This window comes from Homo sapiens, chromosome 13, assembly GCF_000001405.40.
Source record: "Homo sapiens chromosome 13, GRCh38.p14 Primary Assembly".
Lineage (NCBI taxonomy): Eukaryota > Metazoa > Chordata > Mammalia > Primates > Hominidae > Homo > Homo sapiens.
In genome coordinates, this window is record NC_000013.11 from 49,481,593 (window position 1) to 49,501,014 (window position 19,422).

A 19,422-nucleotide genomic window follows, 5' to 3' on the forward strand; every position below is an offset into this window, starting at 1 on the left:
TTTGGGGACTGCAGAGAGTTGTCCATGCTGCAGAGCAAAACTTCCCGAGCAGTGTGTTACAGTCATGCAATTACTGATTCTTTAGGGCCACAGCCCCCAGGGCCAAACACATCAGTCTTCAGTAGTCTTACACATTTACCTCCAGCATGTCAGGCAAAATCCCTTATTTTCTGTGCACATCCTTCTGTGAGAAAGTTTGGGAAACACGGCTTTAGAGCCAGTCTAAAGGAATTGTCCTTGACTTATTTTAGCAGTTAGGCATCAGGGAAAAGAACAACCAGGTTCTGAAAATTACTCATCTGAAAAATCAGGTTTAATCTGTTTACATGACCATGTGCTTAGAAAAGAAATATCAGGTTCACATCAGGGAGGGCAAGAAGAAGCTTGCAGAGTTCAGAGTAGTCACACGTATGGATCCCTGCCACTCCCCATTTACAGATCCACATTCTACACATCCTGCCTAGACGTTCATCTCTCATACTTCTCAAAATAACTCTTGGATGAAAGCTACCTGTAAAATGCCAGGTGGTGTCCAGGAAGTATCATTGGTTTTATCGTTGTTGCTGGAAAATGTAACTAAGATATGTCTCCGATCTAACAATGGGTAAGAATATCCTGCTATTAATTTGGACTTGGCAACTATAATATTGAATCCCTTGAAAGAAAATGCATGAACTTTAGACCAAGATTTTAGTGTTATGCAGAACTTAATATGACAACACTAAGAACATATCACCACATATTTAAATAGGTACTTTTGTTAAAAATTTTAAGTTTCAGATGATAACGCCTTTTTAACTAGACATAAAAGCTACAATTTTATGGCTAGAGTCATCTCTCTAATTTTCTAGAGTACTTTCTCATCCATATCTTTTTGTATCATTCTAGCTAAATCTCTTCTCTTTTGTATTATACCAAAACAGACAAATGGTTTTTTTTTAGATACCCTGTTTTTTCATATACTGGAAGATAAGAAATATCACATTGGTCTTTGTCTTGCAACAGTTTTGTAGGATGAGTTAATGTGTTTATCTTCATTGTAGAATGTGTGGGTTCTTTAGTCATGGAGTAGAAATAGAGATGTCTGTTTATCATTAGCAATTATCTTCTGTGTTGTTCAAACTCTTTAACATTTTCCTTTTAGGAAGATTACTAAGCAGAGCTAACACTGAAAAATCTTATGGTATTGATGAAAACGGGAGAGATGAGAATACTATGAAAAATATATTTTCAAAAAAGAGGAAATTAGAAGTTGCATGTTCAGATTGTGAAGTTGAAGTTCTCCCATTAGGATTGGAAACACATCCTAGAACTGCTAAAACTGAGAAATGTCCACCAAAGTTCAGTAATAATCCCAAGGAGCTTACTGTGTAAGTAACAGCTGAGGAACCCAGAGTAAATCTAAATTATTATCAATCAATTGGTTCTTTTTCATTCCTTCCCCTCTTTCTTTTCTCCTCATTTGTATTTATCATTTTGCTTCAAAGTTGTTAAGTCTAACACTTTGAGAAATCCAGGACATGTAAAAATCTAGCCAATATACCATCCTCAGTGTTCCAGTTTTGGAATTTTACCTTATATGACTTTAGTCAGGTTTTTTATGGATGTCATAAGTTTTGCTGTTTTTTAAAATTTTCTATCATTTTATCTGCAAAGTTTTCATAGGTTCTCTTCCTTTTCCAAATGTACTTCAAAAATTATTTATGATTATATTTCCTTTCTCTAGGGAAAGGAATAAACATAGATGTTCTTACTTAGGTTAATTTATAATAATTAAGGATATTTATGTAATAATGGATATTATCTGTACTTGAGTAAAGAGAATGAAGAGAATTTTTAGTGATACAGAATAACTTTTTTTTCCTTTTTAGGGAAACGAAATATGATAATATTTCAAGAATTCAATATCATTCAGTTATTAGAGATCCTGAATCCAAGACAGCCATTTTTCAACACAATGGGAAAAAAATGGTAAAAAATGCAAAATGTAGTTGGGACCCTTCTTTTCTTTTTTAAATTTTTTTTTTTTTTTTTTTTTTTTTTTTTTTTTTTTTGACGCAGAGTCTCACTCTGTCACCCAGGCTGGAGTGTGGTGGCACAGTCACAGCTCACTGCAGCCACAATCTCCTGGGCTCGAGTATCCTCCTCCCTCAGCCTCCCGAATGGCTGGGACTACAGGTGCACACCACCATGCCCAGCTCTTATTTAGTAGAGATGGGGTCTCACTATATTGCCCAGGCTGGTCTCCAACTCCTGAGCTCTAGCAGCTGTTGTGCCTCAGCCTCCCAAAGTTCTGGGATTATAGGCATGAGCCACCGCACCCAGCTGCTGGGGCCCTTCTGAGATGTAAACTATTGCCTTCCTATCCTTTACTTAGCTCAAAATGTTTGTGTTACTTTATAGTGTGTAGAATTTCTTTTATTGTTTTGGAATGGTGGACGGTGGAAATGCTAGGACCATGTTCTGTTTACTTAGTATCATCCACGGCAGTTGACATGTTTCCAGCTTGGCTGTATGAGGAGAATGCTGGTCATGATCTGACAGTGTGCTCCACTGAGACCGAGAGGTATCCCATTCTGAGAGTTTGTGGGAGAAGCTAAAGTCTTCAGGAGTTAATAGTGATATATAAGAAAAGGGACAAAGTAATTTAGGTGAAGGAGAACAAGGTTTTTGTTTTTTGTTTTGTTTTGTTTTGAGATGGAGTTTCACTCTTGTTGCCCAGGCTGGAGTGCAATGGCACGATCTCAGCTTATTGCAACCTCTGCCTCCTGGGTTCAAGCGATTCCCCTGCTTCAGCCTCATGAGTAGCTGGGATTACAGGTGCCTGCCACCATGCCCAGCTACTTTTTTGTATTTTTAGTAGAGACGGGGTTTCATGATGTTGGCCAGCTGGTCTCAAACTCCTGACCTCAGGTGATCCACCCACTTTGGCCTCCCGAAGTGCTGGGATTAGAGGCGTGAGCCACTGCGCCTGGCTGAAGGTTTTAAGATGTATGAGAAAGAAGAGATGCAATTTTATGAAAGAATCATCCAGAAAACAGTATTTTATGTGGTAGCCTCTGAGGGTACCCTTTGCATTGTGAACTAAAGATTAGTCAGAGACTGAAACGTAGAAGCAGAGAAAGAGAAAAGAGAACAAAGAGAGACATAATGGTAGCTTACTTTAGGGCTTGTTGATGAAGAGTAAAAACTCTGCTTTAGGTGTTATGCAAATATTTGCCCTCTGCCTGGTAATGGTACAGTAGCTACCTCCTTAAGGTCAGAGAATTATGAAAAGATTGGCCATGGTGTCACACAGACCCAGGTGTAACCTCCAGCTCTGCTGCGTGCTAGCTGGGTGGTATCTCCATACATACATTTCTTTTATCTGTAAAAAGGTAATAGTATATGTTTCAGAATTATGAGGATTAAATGAGATAAGCATCAGCAACTTGCTTAGCATCCAACTAAGTGCTCAATACATGTTGACCATTCACATGCTGAGAACTTTCATAGTAATAATATGGTCAATGTGTATTGAATACTTAGTTGGTTGCCAAGCATTGTGCTGAGTATATACGCCTCTTTTAAAGTTATCATTACTACTTAAAGTGACTGCAGTGTCTACAATGTGTAAGCATTATCACATTCGTTAACCTTTCTTTGAAGTAGAAACTAGCCAATGAGTGTTTTTCATCTTTACACAACTTACAGTTGAAGGCAAATTTATAATCTAGTAATAACACTTTCTAAGTACTGAGATGATTAGAATTGGGGGATACAGACAGGGATGCATTAAGATTTTAATTCCCAAAGAATTTCTTGACAGTCTTTATAGCTGTGGCTTAATAAAGCACCTAGAAGTAGAACAGAGTCAAAGGGGATGACACTTGTTGACTCCATTAGTCTAAAGACTCCTTATGATATCAGCTTTGAGGCTTTTCAAAACGAATCTAGTACATATAGCCTATGATGATTGACACTTGATGAAAGAGGCCTAACTGCTAAATACTTTTGCCTGACCTGGAAAGTAAAGACATCTTCCTTGTTTTTTTAAGGAATTTGTTTCCTCGGAGTCTGTCACTCCAGAAGATAATGATGGATTTAAACCACCCCGAGAGCATCTGAACTCTAAAACCAAGGGAGCACAAAGTAGGCTTTGTTTCTTCTGTGAATGCCTACCTCTTCTGCCTGTTTCTCTGTCTCTTGCTCAATACCTGTAGCTCATTTTCTTAGATTCCATAATAAACATGCTGCATTTGTCAGAAAGGTTACAACTTGTCTACATAAGAGATCAGCAAAATATCGTGTGTGGGCCAAATCTGGCCCTCTACCTGTTCAGTATGGCATGTGAGCTAAGAATGATATTTATGTTTTTAAATAGTTGAAAAAAATCAGAAGGTGATAATATTTTGACACTTGAAAATTATATGAAATTACAATTTTAGTGTCCAGAAATAAAGTTTTGGCCAGGTGCAGTAGCTCACGCCCGTAATCTTAGCACTTTGGGAAGCCAAGGCAGGAGGGCTGCTTGAGGCTATGAGTCTGGGCAATGTAGCAAGATCTTGTCTCAACAACAACAAAATAGCCAGGTGTGGTGGTGCACACCTGAGGTCTTAGCTACTCAGGGGGCTGAGGTGGGAGGATTGTTGAGGTCAGGAGTTTGAGGTTACAGTGAACTATGATTGTGCCACGGTACTGCAGCCTGGGCGATAGAACAAGACCCTGTCTCAAAAAAAAAAATAAAATGTAAGTTTTATTGGAATACAGCCAATTTACATTATATATTGTCTGCTTCAACATTACAGCAAGAGTTGAATAATCACAACAGAGACCACCACATGGCCAGCAAAGCCTGAAATATTTGCTATTTTGCCTTCTGCAGGAGAACTTTGCTGACCTCTGGTCTAATTGCCAGTAGTGACTTGATGCATGACAAGAGGGGTGGGCTGGAAAACTCTTGAGTCTTTGTGGTGCACAGGTGTTGTCCGTGGCTTTGGAACCATTGTGCAAAGCAGCCACTTTCAAACTCTTTGTAGACGCCTTTAAAAATAAACACACATCACTTTCCTGCAATTGCCTAGCCAATACTGCCGCAGAGCATACTCAGCTTGACTCTGGCAAAAGGCTAAAATATTGCCACCCTGAGTCCTTGTGTTTCAGAGTTACTAGTCCTTGCCATAGTTAATATTACAACTGGACAAACATTGTTTTTGGTACTTTTGCATTTCACTGTGTCCTTCACAAGGAGACATTGCTGAGAGATATCCGTTTGTGAAGAATTGGTGAGCCACTGCTGTCTCTTCCCCCCTGCAACCGCAGCTCTCCACCTAATATTAAAGGATGGAGATTGGAGGAGACATGGCAGTTCCTTGATAGAAAAGGTCTATCAAAAAAGGGGATTTTGTGTATTATATTTATTTTATCATGCATGTGAGCCACAGTGCATACCGTTGCTTTTGGTTCTTTTGCCCTTTTCATTGACTGCTACAATATATATAGCGGGTACTCCAAAAGTCAAAAGCTACATACTTTTTGTATAAAAAAATCCAAAGTTGTATTATGGCTTACACGTAACCCATGATTAAAATATAAGTACATATAGGAACAGCAGCCAGCAACAACAGTGATGATTAAATCAAGAGCCTCAATTTTAGACAAGTATAATTTCTTTGCGCCATTGAATTAGGTGGTCCAAATAGCTTTGTGGCTCTTTTAAAGTAAGTAATTTATACTTACTCCATCTGACATGCATTCATATCTTTTCTTTTTTTTTTAAAGAGAGACAGCGACTCATTCTGTCACCCAAGCTGGAGTGCAGTGGTGGGATCATAGCTCACTGTACCTTCCAATTCCTGGGCTCAAACAGTCCTCCCACCTCAGTCTCCTGAGCAAACAGGACTACAGGCACACACCCCCTTGTTGGCTAATTTCTTTTTTTTAAAATTTTTTGTAGAGATGGGGTCTCACTTTGTTGCCCAGGCTGGTCTTGAATTCCTGGCCTCAAGCATCCTCCTGCCTTGGCCTCCCAAAGTGCTGGGATTACAGGCATGAGCCACCATGCCCAGCCATATTCATACTCTTGAATACTCTCAAAAAATTATTTTCCTTATTGGATAAGAAAAACGATTAAGCAGTGCATCTGCTTTTAAAGGATTATTGTTTACAAAGGTGTAATTATTGAATGGTCATCTAGTAAAACACCAAACACTAATATGTGCAAAACCCCTAGCAATACAGTTGTCACTGCTGGGACTTGTGGAAGGTGTCTCTGTCAGGGTTAGGCCTTTTATTGGCAGCATAAAGGCCTAGAGTGCCTCCAAAACACCCACTCTGTTACATTTGTTTAGAATATACTTAAGTGCAGATTCCAGAATTAAAGAGAAGAAAGTCAGTTTATTATGAGTAGAGATTAAATATAATAATGAAGAAGCAAGATGTAGATTCATAAAAAGGCATTGTTACGTAGTAGAAAGAAGGCAGACTTTGGGATTCAAACATTTCTAGGTTTGTTACCCCAGTTCTCGTTATTGTGGGTCAGATGAATTCCTTAATCCCTCAGAGAAAGTTTCCTTTATACAATTAAAATAATACTACCTGCCTAACACATTGTAAGGATCGATAATTAAAGCACCTAGCATCTAATTAGTGTTGTTAATTTCAGCACTATTGCTCAGCAAGTATATTTCCTGATGTTTCCTTCCAAAATGTCTATTAGAGGACTCAAGTTCAAACCATGTTGATGAGTTTGAAGATAATCTGCTGATTGAATCAGATGTGATAGATATAACTAAATATAGAGAAGAAACTCCACCAAGGAGCAGATGTAACCAGGCGACCACATTGGATAATCAGAATATTAAAAAGGCAATTGAGGTTCAAATTCAGAAACCCCAAGAGGGACGATCTACAGCATGTCAAAGACAGCAGGTATTTTGTGATGAAGAGTTGCTAAGTGAAACCAAGAATACTTCATCTGATTCTCTAACAAAGTTCAATAAAGGGAATGTGTTTTTATTGGATGCCACAAAAGAAGGAAATGTCGGCCGCTTCCTTAATGTGAGTATAAGGGCTGAGATTCCTATTTCTGAACAACTGTTTTTTTCTATGCTACTTAACAAAATTATGAGGAAAATAAACAGACTCTAAAGTCAGACCATCTGGTTAGAATTCCAGTCCTCCACTTGTATACAGTTGGATGTTTTACTTGACCTCTGATACCTCATTTTCTACCTCTGTAATACAGGGATAAATGATAACTGTCTCAGGATGTTATGAGAATCTAATGAATTAACATTAAGTGCTTAGAACAGTGCCTAGCACATAGTAAACATTTGCTTTTAAAAAACTGTAAGAAATGGTGTATAAGAAAAGTATTTAAATATATCAGATTTAAATAAGCTCACTTACCTGAGTTGAAAAAAATGTATGGCTAGGAAGTTATCAGTGAAGTTAAATGGTGGCAGATATGTCCAAAGAATACTGCAGGGATTTAATGGTGTATTAATATGGAAAGATTGCCACAATATACTGGTTTTTTGGTTTTTATTTTTTGTTTTTTTTGAGACAGAGTCTCACTTTGTCACCAGTGGCACAATCTCAGCTCACTGCAACCTCCGCTTCTGGGGTTCAAGCAATTCTCATGCCTCGGCCTCCTGAGTAGCTGAGATTACAGGCGTTAATGAATCACATGATGAATGTGTGGAGATGGCGGCTAGTGGGCAACAGAGCAATACTGGAATAGTGCTAATATGAGGAAATGGTATCATCTATTTAGAAGCCTCGGAACGACGATACATAATGGCTATCTTCAGCAAAGAAATTTGTTGCTTACAATATCTCCTCTCCAAAAGGCTTGTTTGTTACAGTGATGTAAAAATTAGGTTCTGTACATCTTCATATTAAACTTACTTTGTGAAAACTTTTTGTTTAAAAAAAAAAAAAAAAGCCATACCTTGAGAAGTACTGTGCTCCTGTTCCCATGCCCCGACTCCACCTTCTCTCTGTAGGTCATCATATTTATTCTTTTTTTTTTTTTTTTTTTGAGACCGAGTCTTGCTCTGTCACCAGGCTGGAGTGCAGTGGTGTGATCTCGGCCCACTGCGATCTCCGCCTCCTAGGTTCAAGCGATTCTCCTCATCAGCCTCCTGAGTAGCTGAGATTACAGGTGTGCACCACCATGCCTGGCTAATTTTTGCATTTTTAGTAGAGACACAATTTCACCATGTTGGTCAGGCTGGTCTTGAACTCCTGACCTCAAGTGATCTGCCTGCCTCGGCCTCCCAAAGTGCTGGGATTACAGGTGTGAGCCACCGCACCTGGCCTTATTTCTCCCGCCCCCCCCCCCTTTTTTTTTTACATAAAACATAGCATATTATATTCACTGTTCTATACTTTGTTTTTCAAATTAACAGTATATTGGGCCAGGCGTGATGTGACTCATGCCTGTAATCCCAGCACTTTGGGAAGCCAAGGCAGGCAGATCACTTGAGGTCAGGAGTTTGAGACCAGCCTGGCCAACACGGCAAAACCCCGTCACTACTAAAAATACAAAAAAAATTAGCCGTGTGTCATGGCACATGCCTATAATCCCAGCTACTTGGGAGGCTGAGGCATGAGAATCACTTGAACCCAGGAGGCGGAGGTTGCAGTGAGCCAGGATCATGCCACTGCACTCCAGCCTGGGCGACAGAGTGAGACTCCGTCTCAAAAAAAAAAAAAAAAAAAAAAATCTTGTGGCAATTCCATATTAATACCCAGAGCTTCTCAAATTGTTTTTATTTGTATGCTTTTGTTTATAGCTGCATAGAATTCTATTGTGTACCAAAGTTTATTTAACCAATCTGCTTTAGGCAAATATTTGGGTTATTTCCAAACCTTTAGCACTAAAAACAATGCTCAATGAATAATTACACATGGAAACATATACAGATGAATCTGTGGAATACAATTCTAGATATGAGATTGCAGAATCAAAAGACAAATGCATTTATAATAATGATAAATATTGACATATTTTATAGGGATTTGTCCCATTTTTGCATTTCTGCCAGCAACATAGAAGAGCGTCAGAACAGGGCTTTTCTGAATGGGTTCCCACTATTAACAGGAGCTGTGATAATTTATACATTGACAAAAAAAGAACAAAATCAGTGTGATATATTAAAAACAGAATGGTTTTCTAATGCAAAAGCACAAGGCATCAGACTTTATGCTATTTCTAACCTTTGTGTTTATTTTTATTTAACAGCATAGTTGTTGCCCAAATCTCTTGGTACAGAATGTTTTTGTAGAAACACACAACAGGAATTTTCCATTGGTGGCATTCTTCACCAACAGGTTTGAAATTGATTTCGCTTACTTAATTCTGAAATTGTGACTTTAAAAATAACAATAGAGGGCTGAGTGCTGTGGCTCATACCTGTAATCCCAGCACTTTGGGAGGCCAAGGTGGGGAGACTGCTTGAGCTCAGGAGTTTAAGACCAGCCAGAGCCACATGGCGAAACCCTGTCTTTACTAAAAAAAATAGAAAAAGTTCACCAGGTTTGGTGGCCAGCTACTCAGGAAGCTGGGGTAGGAGGATCACTTGAGCCCAAGAGGTAGAGTTTGCACCCTGTCTCAAAAAATGATAATTATAATAGAAAAATATTTTTTAAAGATATATACTATAGCCCCAAATATCTGGTACTGTAGAATATTCAATTATCCTAAACTGTTCCTATTCAATAAGATTTTGCACACCTGAAATTTTGACTCTTATTCCCATTTAGAATGAATGCCTGAAAGGGCTGAAGATATCAGGTATCACCCAGTTCCACTCGGGATAAATGATGCAGAGTGCTACATAATCTTTAATTCAGAGCTATTCCCCAGCTACTTCCACACTGCAGGCCTCAACACATGACTGGGTCCCACTGTTGGCAAAATACACTTCTTCCTCATATTGATAGGTTCCTTCTTACTTAACATTTTAGTAGATTTGAAATAAAACTCAAATGGTTATTCTTAATAAAAGGTCATTCCTAATTGGTGGATGTTGGGTGAGAGAACAGATCATATTTTTGAGGATGGTTAATGTTAATATGAAAATTGATATAATTTGGTTCATTGGTAGTTATTTAGGGTATTTTATGATTCTTTTCAAATTTCTACTTTCTAGGTATGTGAAAGCAAGAACAGAGCTAACATGGGATTATGGCTATGAAGCTGGGACTGTGCCTGAGAAGGAAATCTTCTGCCAATGTGGGGTTAATAAATGTAGAAAAAAAATATTATAAATATGTAACTAACGCCTGTTTGTGAAATTAGCTTATCAGGCTGAAATTAAAGCCATGCAAAAGAAGGTCTAGGTCCATCAAGGAAATTCCCCTCCGTTTTCCTTTGTCATGGGGTTTATGTTTTATTTCAGATTTTATTTGTGTGACTTAGAAATTCCAGGAACACAATTAGGATATTTTCATACACATAGGGTATCTTGTTCACTGCTGTGCTACTTTACATGAGTAGGATGGAAGTGTATATTTTATATGAAATACCACTGTACAATTTATAATTTATTTACAAATTATATATTAAGAGAAACAAATGTCATAACAGAACTCAGCTGTTTCTAATTGCTTTTGTGACTGTTACCTTTTAGTTCATGCCCCCCCAAAGAGCTAAATTTCACATTTTTACCTACAAAATTGATTTTTAATTCCTGGCAAATAATTTACCATTATGAGCTACAAGGTGGGCAACAGCGCCTGAGGATCTAATTTTATGCATATTACTCCCAAGTATTTTAACACTTGTTGGAGAAGCAATATCTGGATCGATAAAACACTGTCCCATCAACCATTTGAGTGGGGAGAGGGAGAAGCTCTTCTGTAAGTAAGATTCTGGCAAGCTCTTTGAAATGAGTCTTCTTTCCCACAGATTTTCTCTACTCTTTCTATACAAACAGATAGGAGAAGAGGGAATAGAAACCTGGAGGAACTTGAATATTTTTGTTCTAGATAGAGATACAGTTACTGAAAAGGAAACCTAGAAAGTAGTCACACGTTGCTTATTTAGGCCAGAAGTAATTGTACTGGGCAAAAATTTCACTTAAAAAACACAAGAAGTCCAGGTATGGTGGCTCAGACCTGTAATCCCAGCACTTTGAGAGGCCGAGGCAGGTGGATTACTTGAGCCTAGGGGTTCAAGACCAGCTTGGGCAACATGTCAAAACCCTGTCTCTACAAAAAATACAAAAATTAGCCTGGCATGATGGCATGTGCCCGTAGTCTCAGCTACTCAGGAGTGAGGTGGGAGGATCATTTGAGCTCAGAAGGTCAAGGCTGCAATGAGACATAATTTCACCATAGTACTTCCAGCCTGGGCAATAGAGCAAGACTCTCTCTCAAAAAAAACAGCACACACACACACACACGAAAACAATTCTGAACTATGAAATCTGAAACAGCCCCTTGGTATCTCCTGGGCATGATTTGCAAATCTTTTTTTTTTACAGAAAAAAGGCAAAGAGTAAGCACTTTGCCATAGGTTACTTGGCCGTGATCATCTATCTAGTGGAAAAGGGGACTGGGAAGCCCAAGCAGACTGGGAAACCAGACAGCTAGGAAAAGGAGCAAAACATAGCCCAGCAACCTACAGATGAAGAAAGTTGAGAAATCCATTTATTCACCATAGAGACGCAGGAATTTCAGGCAATGCACTAAAATGAAATGGGGGAAAAAAGCTTGATCAGTATGGGAACCATTTTTGTGCAAAAGGGAATATTATGGATCAGCCAGTATTTCTTTGAGCTCTGCCTGTGGAGTCCATTTGACCTTTAGAAATATGAGGTATTCTGTCAGTTTTATCTTCTTGGAGAAATTTCTCCTAAAATCTTGATTTGCTTTAGTCTGGACTGGTTCATAGCCATCATCTTCCATCAGTACCCCAGAGATTCACTTTGTCTCTTATGTGGGATCTGTTTCCAGTTAGATGCCATTATTTTCCTTTTCCTTGGTTTACTCTTCCACATATTGGTAAAGCTCTTCCAATAGCTTTTGGAAAGGAAAAATGAAAAGTAAATGTTTTGAATCTCTGTGTGTTTGACAATGTCTTTATTTTACCCTTATACCTGATTGCTGTTTTGGTTGGCAAGGTATAGGATTCTTTAGTGGTCTCCATGCCCAGTTTTGAAGACATCTGCTAGCTTTCAGTGCTGTTGCTGTGGAGTCTGAAAATCTGTCTTCTGGCTTCCAGGGTGACTACTGGAAATTGAATGCCATTCTGTTCCTTCTCTTTTGCATATATAATCCATTTTTATCTCTCTTGAAGCTTATAGGTTTATCTTTGTCTCAATGTTCTGTCCCTGTTAAGAGTCCATTTTCATCCTTTGTACTAGGTGCCTGGTGGGATCATTCCGTCTGAAACTAATGATTTCCCATCTCTTCACTGTTTCTGGAATTCCTGTTTTCCAGATGTTAGACCTCCAGAATTTGATCTCTAATTTTCCTATCTTTTCTCTTAACTTTCAGCTCTGTCTTCTTGCTAGGACCTTTTCCTAGGAGCATTTCTCAATTTAATCTTCCAGTTCATCTGTTGCATTTTATTTTTCTAGTCTCATATTGTCTCATATTTTTAATTTCTAAGAGCTCCCCTTCTCCGAATATTCTTTTTTTTTAATAGCATCCTATTTTGGCTCATGGTTGCAGTATTTTATCTCCTTGAAGATGTTTGTGTGTTTATGTATGTATATGCACACACGTATACATACACATACAGGCATGCATCTCTGTATTCTTTCGGCATAATCTGTGTCCTCCAGGGTTTGTTTCTTTGTTTCCCCTGTATGTTTGTTTTGGTCGTTCACATTATAGGCTTTCCTCAGAGTTAATGGTCTTGGTAGTCTACTCATATTTAAGTGTGGAACACCAAAAAGCTTACTATAAGCTGAGAGTGTGGTAAAGGGCTCTTTGTTTTACTATGACCTACCTGAGCTATCTTGCTGGGGAACACCCTAATGTCAGTCTCTTTATAAAGGGCCTTTCATTTTGGCCTGGCAAGAAATACTCTTTCATCCTCCTGCATGGAGGGCAAAAAAAAATTTAAAAATTGGCTGCTAGGGTCTGTCTGCTCACTTCCCTGTTTTGCAGACCCCACACTCTTCTGCAATTCATTTCATAGTTGTCAAGACTATACAAATTGTCCTTTTTAATGTTCTCTCTTCTGCTATCCCTAGTTGGCAGTCTTCCTCTTTACAACCTGCTGAAAGTGGAAGACCTCCAGTTTTCCTTTAATTCCTCAGCAAACCACCAACTATTATATGTCTTTTTTCCAGAACAACTTATTTTTTAACTATAATTATATGCATTTATGTTAGATTCACTGAAAACCTCATCTTGTATGGTGCTCTGTACCCTATGGGTGCTAAATAAAGGCTTGCTACTGGCAACTGGATTTAGGATCGGCTAATTCTGCGTCCTTTTAAGATATGCTTATTTAAGCCAAACTCGGTATGATAATTTTTTTTTTTTTTTTTTTTTTTTTGAGAGGGAGTCTGGCTCTGTCGCCTAGGCAGGAGTGCAGTGGCGCGATCTTGGCTCACTGCAACCCCCGCCTCCCGGGTTCAAGCGATTCTCCTGCCTCAGACTCCCGAGTAGCTGGGATTACAGGCGCCCGCCACCAAGCCCGGCTAATTTTTGTATTTTTAGTAGAGACGGGGTTTCACCATGTTGACCAGGCTGGTCTCGAACTCCTGACCTCGTGATTCGCCCACCTCGGCCTCCCAAAGTCCTGGAACTACAGGCGTGAGCCACCGCGCCCACCCGGCCAGTATGATAGTTTTTAGGAGGAACCCTCAGGAGAGTGATTGTTTCTCCCGCTGTGTTGTGGGGGGTGGAGTAGGGAAGCCTGGCGTTTGGGGTTTTTTTGTTTGTTTGTTTTTTGTGTGTGTTTGTTTGTTTGTTTGTTTTGAGACGGAGTCCCGCTCTGTAGCCCAGGCTGGAGTGTAGTGGCGCGATCTCGGCTCACTGCAAGCCCCGCCTCCCGATTCAAGCGATTCTCATGCCTCAGTGTCTGGAGTAGCTGGGATTACAGGCACCCGCCACCATGCCCAGCTAATTTTTGTATTTTTAGTAGAGACGGGGTTTCACCATGTTGGTTAGGCTGGTGTTGAACTCCTGACCTCGTGATCCGCCCTCCTCGGCCTCCCAAAGTGCTGGGATTACAGGCGTGAGCCACTGCTCCCGGCGTTTGGGTTTTTTAAGCTATTCAAATTAAGACTAGACTGGAATCTGGAGCAGTGTGTGTGACAACCCCTCTCTGCACACCCAACTTTCCCCGGGCCGGCTAGTGACTCAAAGCGACAGCCCAGATTTAAGAAAACGAAACCTAGTGCAGCTGGGGCACTTCCGGGATCTCGCTATCCGGCCGCCACCCGCAGCTGCAGCACAGTCATGGCCCAGGCGTCGCCGCCCCGGCCCGAGAGGGTGCTCGGCGCCAGCAGCCCGGAGGCCCGGCCCGCGCAGGAGGCGCTCCTCCTTCCCACCGGTGTGTACCGCGGGGGCGGGCGGGCGGGCGGGCGGGGCTGGGCAGCGACGGGCCCGGTCAAGGGGCCTGCCTTCCGGTCGTGGCCGCATGGGGGCCCGACCTGCCCCTACTCCGGGCCGGGGCCCTAGACGCCGGGGCGGCGCTGGACGAACTTGGCTCACCACTCGCGTGCCTGTTGGTGGGGGAGGGGGCCAGAGGACAGGGCGCGGCCCAGGCCAGTTCCACAGGTGGCTCTGACTGCCCATGGTTTCGCGCGAGTGGTGGGCACGCTTCGGTTTACCTCCCCCGCGGGTGACAGCCCAGTGCTTCCACCACAACCGATGTCAACTCTCCTAGCGCCCCTCCGCTCACCGGTAAACCAGGACAGTGGAGGGGCGCCCTGATGCGGTGAGGCAGGGGGCGGCCCTGAGGGAAGAGCTGGGTCTCACGTTCACGGAGGACGTGACTGGAACCCGTCTCCCCTTCTCCAGTCGTTCCAGTCCTCCCCGGCCCTCTACTTGAGTGGGTGGGTCTTCTGATGGGTTCCTGCCCTTGCGTGTGTGTATAGCTCCAAACGGTGTGCCAGGCTCAGGGCAAGGTCCTGAGCATACAAAGATGAGTTAGGCAGACCCTGCCCTAGAGACTCTACTAGGCAACTTTAATGAGGAGGTCAGAACCACAGAGGTACAGATGAGAGACTCCTGACTCCCAGTCTTCAGGGAAAGCTTTTTGAGGAGAGGATGGCTGGGCTTACCCTTTTTTTTTTTTTTTTTTTTTGAGAGGAGTTTCACTCTTGTTGCCCAGGCTGGAGTGCAAAGGCGCTATCTCGGCCCACTGCAACCTCTGCCTCCCGGGTTCAAGCGATTCTCCTGCCTCAGCCTCCCGAGTGGATGGGATTACAGGCATGTGCCACCACGCCCAGCTAATTTTGTATTTTTAGTAGAGAGGGTTTCTCCATGTTTCATGGGCTTACCTTTAAAGGGCAAGACTCAGCCAAAGGTGGAAAAGTTGAAGGGGTGTTCCCAGCAGAGAGGATGACACAAAGGCACCAAACCACAAAACGTCACACGTAAACATCATACGTGGCAACCACAAGCCAATCAGTTGGATATTTCATTCATTGGTATACATATGGACTGTAAGGTAAGTCACGGGAGATGCGCTTCCATCCTGACCTCTTCCTCAAACTCCAGACTGGTATAACCAACTTCTTCCATTTCTGAAATGATCTCAAACTGAGTATGTCCCAAAGAGAATTCTTGTTTCCTCCACTGTATTCAGGTACTCCAAACCTGCTCAACCACCAGCCCATTCCATTCGCCCAGGTGCTCCTTGCAAAAACCTTAGTGGCTCCTCAGGGCCTCTCTTTCCTCCGGACACCCCTTCTAATGCATCAGTCGGGCCAGCCAGTTCTGTGTTCAGCCTGACTGTATCTGGAGCCTGACTGCTTCTCACCACTTCCATTACTGCCACCCAAGCCTACGCCATCATGATCTTCTGTCTGGACTATTGCTTTCCTGGCTTCTATTCTAGCCTTTAATACAGGCAGGCCTGCAGAGCGGCCAAAATGCTTTTTGAAAAACAAAAAGCAAATGTGATTCTCCTACTCAAAACCCACCAATAGTCTCCCATGACTCTCAGAACAATCTATGAGCCTGGCCTGCAGTTTACCCCATGTCCTTATCTGATTTGACTCCTGCCCATCTTAATGACTCTGCTACCCTGCTACCTTGTAGGTCCTCTAAGCCACCAAAGCTGTCCCTGCCTCAGGATCTTTCCATTTGCTATTCTCTGCAAGGAAAACTCATTGCCACATTATCCCATTTTCAGTTCCCCATCATATTCAGGTGTCTGCTCATATACATCTTCCCTCAACCTTGCCTGCCCATCCTGTCTAAAAGAGCACCCCTTGCCCCTGCTCCTGTCACTCTCTACCTCCTTCTGCTCTATTCTTTCTCTATAGTACTTATCACTACCTGGAAAACAAAACAAAACTTGTTTAATGCCTGTCTCTACCACTGGCCACTGGCATGTAAATTCGTCTTACTCTCTTCTATCCTTAGTGCCTAGACTGGTTGGCCTAGTAGTAGTAGTAGGACATAGTAGGTACTCATTAAATATTAAATAATAGTAAGTCCTCATTAAATATTTGTTGAAGGAATGAATGTACTTGTATATAACACTACGGAGCTTGACTTCTGTAGGTGATGGGGAAATATGAGCAGATGTCCATTTCAGGTAGATCATTCTGACAGTAACATAGTACATTTCCGGTAGATCATTCTGACAGTAACCTAGCACATTTCTGGTAAATCATTCTGACAGTAACCTAGTACATTTCCGGTAGATCATTCTGACAGTAACCTAGTACATTTCCAGTAGATCATTCTGACAGTAACCTAGTACATTTCAGATAGATCATTCTGACTGTAACCTAGTACATTTCCGTTAGATCATTCTGACAGTGACCTGGTACATTTCAGGTAGATCATTCTGACAGTAACCTAGTACATTTCAGGTAGATCATTCTGACAGTAGCATAGTGCATTTCAGGTAGATCATTCTGACAGTAACGTAATACATTTCAGATAGATCATTCTGACAGTAATATAAAGAATGCAGTGGGATCATGACAGGGAAAATAGAGACAAGGACAAGAGATCACTGGAATAGACTAGGTGAAAGACCCTGAGGGTAAGGCAGTCCACCTTCCACACCGCTGCCAGCACTGTCTTTCTCTTAAACACACATGGGCACACACACATATAAACATGTGAGTGCACACACACAGATCAAGTAAGTCATGGTCCTTCCAGTGTTAATAAGCACGTACTGGCTGCAAGTACTACAAAAACAATTTGATGTAATTTAAGCATGAGGGATGCTTAGTAGTAGTAAGCAGGAAAACCAGACTCACAGACCCCCAGAGCATGGATACTTTAGCATCTTACAGAAAGGGCTGAGGACTAGGACCTGAGAAGCCATTATAAACTTTGACAACACTCTCCTTTATCTCTTATTTCTGCATCTCTCAGTGTATCTGCTTTGTTCTTCTCTTTCTCTGGTCCAGTTTTCCTGGTGATGGTATAGAAGATGGCTGCCCTTGCAGCCTCTCAGTTTTTACATCTTCTTTAAGAAACCAGCCCAATCTGAACTGAAATCTTCTATCCTGAATTCTGTATATCTGAGAGATGAGCAGGTCCTCTGGGACTATCAGCTATGTCTAGAGGAATGAAGTACAAACATGCCTGCTGGGGGTCATTGTGTACGCATCATTGTGAGCTGAACAGATACCCTAAAGGAGTCCATTGAATATCCTATCCTTAGGCTCCCCATGGTCCCTCCTCTATAACACACACATCCTTATTCCTATTTATACATTCTAAAGATATTCCCAGTGATGCATTCTGTTCCCAGTAATGAATTCTAGCTATACCAAAACCAAATTCAGTCACACTTAACTTCTGCCAAAGTCATATCTAGCCACTTCATCCTGAGATAATGTGATGGAACCATTCATTCTCCAAGGCCATTACCAAGTTCCTTGCCAAGCCTCTAGGTAATGTCTACTGTTTTGGTCTGTATCCAGTTCAGGTAGGCATTCACTGGACCAGTGATAAAATTGGCTTCTACACATCCAGCAAACAGTGGAAGAACTAAAATAGTAAATTGCAATAAACACTAATGATAAAAGGAGAAGAAAGGAGGAAATCTCCAAACCAGCACCATAAATTAGTTACCTACCAGTCCAGAACAAATCTATACTGGAAGGGGATTCTAAATGAAATGATAGGATTAGTGAATCCCATTCCAACTGTTTCACCCATTTCTTTAGTGGCAGAATGTGTTCCTTGACCACGCTTCCTGGCTACCCCAGATTCTGTGCCCTGGGTGGATTACCCTTGGCTGGAGGGCTTTAAGAGTAGAAGCTAGAGCCTCGGCAATCCATTTCCACATTGAAGAGGGCCTGCAGATTGCCGGAGAGATTAAGAATCACTGTGTTGTTTGAATTAGTCATAGTTCTTATATTCCAGGCTTGTGATCTTTCTGTGGTTTCATTCTGTATAAACTTTCTTGGCTCTCAGTTTCATTTGTGAGAATTCTAAAATTCTGCAATCTTGTCGGGTCAGGCTCTGTGAGTCCTCAGGGTTGCTAAACCCCCCTAGAAAGGAGCCTGGAAAGCCCTGCTGACTATTCTTGGTCCCAGCTACTGATGAAAACCAATGGGCTCTTCCCTAAAATACCTCAGCCTTCATGACACACCTTTAGGTATCCCTCCCTCTCTGAATCTGTACAGTTCCTGAGTTCAGATGGTGAGGGATACCAAACTGTCCAAATGTATGTGGTCCATGAGTTTCGGATAACACATAGCAAGAGTTCAGATAGTGAGAGATGCCTGTCTGTGTAAAAGTCCTCAGTGTGACTCCCATAGTGAGAGATGCCTGTGTAAAAGTCCTCAGTGTGACTCCTCCAACTGCAGAGAATTACACACTTCCTCCAGTCTAGAAGATCAAAAGAGCTAGAAGAGCCGAAATCCATTAAGACACTGTGATATGGGGGGATTTAGCAGGAAAAAGCCACTAGGGAGAACCTGTGGGTCCCACCCCATGTTTTTAATCCATCTGCACTGAAGACAAACTCTGGGTCTAGCACAGCAGTGTTGTCAGCATATCTGTCTTGTCTGTCTTGTTCTTCTCTGTATTCCCCGTTGTCAGAGAATACAAACCACCTCTGTATTCCCAGATGCCAAGACTCTTGGAACCCAAGTACTTGGGAGCTCAGCTCAGGTATCAGTGACTTGACAGCTCTGCCCAGTGCACAGAAACAAGCAATGTTGTACAAAAATGTTCAGCCCTTATACAACAAGAGGCAGCTGCATATCCTGTCAGATAGTATCGCTTTTAATTTGGGAGTCACCAACTTTTGTTTTTTTTTTTTTT

General features: G+C 41.6%; 3 protein-coding genes and 1 pseudogene across 20 annotated transcripts in view, besides 4 other annotated features; all 4 read left to right on the forward strand.

Annotated features, from left to right (window-relative positions):
• SETDB2 (SET domain bifurcated histone lysine methyltransferase 2) overlaps window positions 1–13,411 on the forward strand; it is a 50,730-nt gene extending 37,319 nt beyond the window's left edge. For 4 of the 10 annotated variants that reach the window (NM_031915.3, NM_001160308.3, NM_001320699.2 and 1 more), the window contains 6 exons: window positions 1,145–1,370; window positions 1,872–1,971; window positions 4,038–4,131; window positions 6,698–7,038; window positions 9,230–9,318; window positions 10,140–13,411. In NM_031915.3, the coding sequence (NP_114121.2) occupies window positions 1,145–1,370; window positions 1,872–1,971; window positions 4,038–4,131; window positions 6,698–7,038; window positions 9,230–9,318; window positions 10,140–10,257 (968 nt within the window). In that variant the 3' untranslated portion in view covers window positions 10,258–13,411. Of the gene's footprint in view, window positions 1–438; window positions 605–1,144; window positions 1,371–1,871; window positions 1,972–4,037; window positions 4,254–6,697; window positions 7,039–9,229; window positions 9,319–10,139 lie in introns of those variants that run through there. The other 6 variants (NM_001393977.1, NM_001393979.1, NM_001393980.1 and 3 more) reach the window with 3 other exon arrangements.
• SETDB2-PHF11 (SETDB2-PHF11 readthrough) overlaps window positions 1–19,422 on the forward strand; it is an 84,703-nt gene that overhangs the window by 37,319 nt on the left and 27,962 nt on the right. Inside the window, exons 9-12 of one of the 2 annotated variants that reach the window (NR_135324.2) lie at window positions 439–604; window positions 1,145–1,370; window positions 1,872–1,971; window positions 9,230–9,318. Coding sequence is in view for 1 of the 2 variants with exons in the window: in NM_001320727.2 (NP_001307656.1) it covers window positions 1,145–1,370; window positions 1,872–1,971; window positions 4,038–4,131 (420 nt within the window). In the remaining variant the exon portion in view is untranslated. Of the gene's footprint in view, window positions 1–438; window positions 605–1,144; window positions 1,371–1,871; window positions 1,972–4,037; window positions 4,132–9,229; window positions 9,319–19,422 lie in introns of both variants that reach the window. The other variant, NM_001320727.2, reaches the window with a different exon arrangement.
• On the forward strand, window positions 7,378–7,772 carry SNRPGP14 (small nuclear ribonucleoprotein polypeptide G pseudogene 14; annotated as a pseudogene).
• Window positions 13,167–13,852: an enhancer, noted in NCBI's record as "H3K27ac-H3K4me1 hESC enhancer chr13:50068895-50069580 (GRCh37/hg19 assembly coordinates)". NCBI's record gives its function as "activates a minimal SCP1, AML or CMV promoter by ChIP-STARR-seq in naive H9 embryonic stem cells {active_cell/tissue: H9 hESC(naive)}" and the evidence as "EXISTENCE:reporter gene assay evidence [ECO:0000049][PMID:30033119]".
• Window positions 14,163–14,402: an enhancer, noted in NCBI's record as "active region_7748". NCBI's record gives its function as "activates an Ori minimal core promoter by ATAC-STARR-seq in GM12878 lymphoblastoid cells {active_cell/tissue: GM12878}" and the evidence as "EXISTENCE:reporter gene assay evidence [ECO:0000049][PMID:35858748]".
• Window positions 14,361–19,422, forward strand: part of PHF11 (PHD finger protein 11) — a 33,024-nt gene continuing 27,962 nt past the window's right edge. For 2 of the 8 annotated variants that reach the window (NR_135323.3, NM_001419874.1), the window contains exons 1-2: window positions 14,361–14,890; window positions 15,464–15,625. Coding sequence is in view for 1 of the 8 variants with exons in the window: in NM_001040443.3 (NP_001035533.1) it covers window positions 14,410–14,503 (94 nt within the window). In the remaining 7 variants the exon portion in view is untranslated. The remainder of the gene's footprint in view (window positions 14,891–15,463; window positions 15,626–19,422) is intronic. The other 6 variants (NR_135322.2, NM_001040443.3, NM_001419873.1 and 3 more) reach the window with 5 other exon arrangements.
• Window positions 14,423–14,702: a silencer, noted in NCBI's record as "silent region_5342". NCBI's record gives its function as "represses an Ori minimal core promoter by ATAC-STARR-seq in GM12878 lymphoblastoid cells {active_cell/tissue: GM12878}" and the evidence as "EXISTENCE:reporter gene assay evidence [ECO:0000049][PMID:35858748]".
• Window positions 14,893–14,942: an enhancer, noted in NCBI's record as "active region_7749". NCBI's record gives its function as "activates an Ori minimal core promoter by ATAC-STARR-seq in GM12878 lymphoblastoid cells {active_cell/tissue: GM12878}" and the evidence as "EXISTENCE:reporter gene assay evidence [ECO:0000049][PMID:35858748]".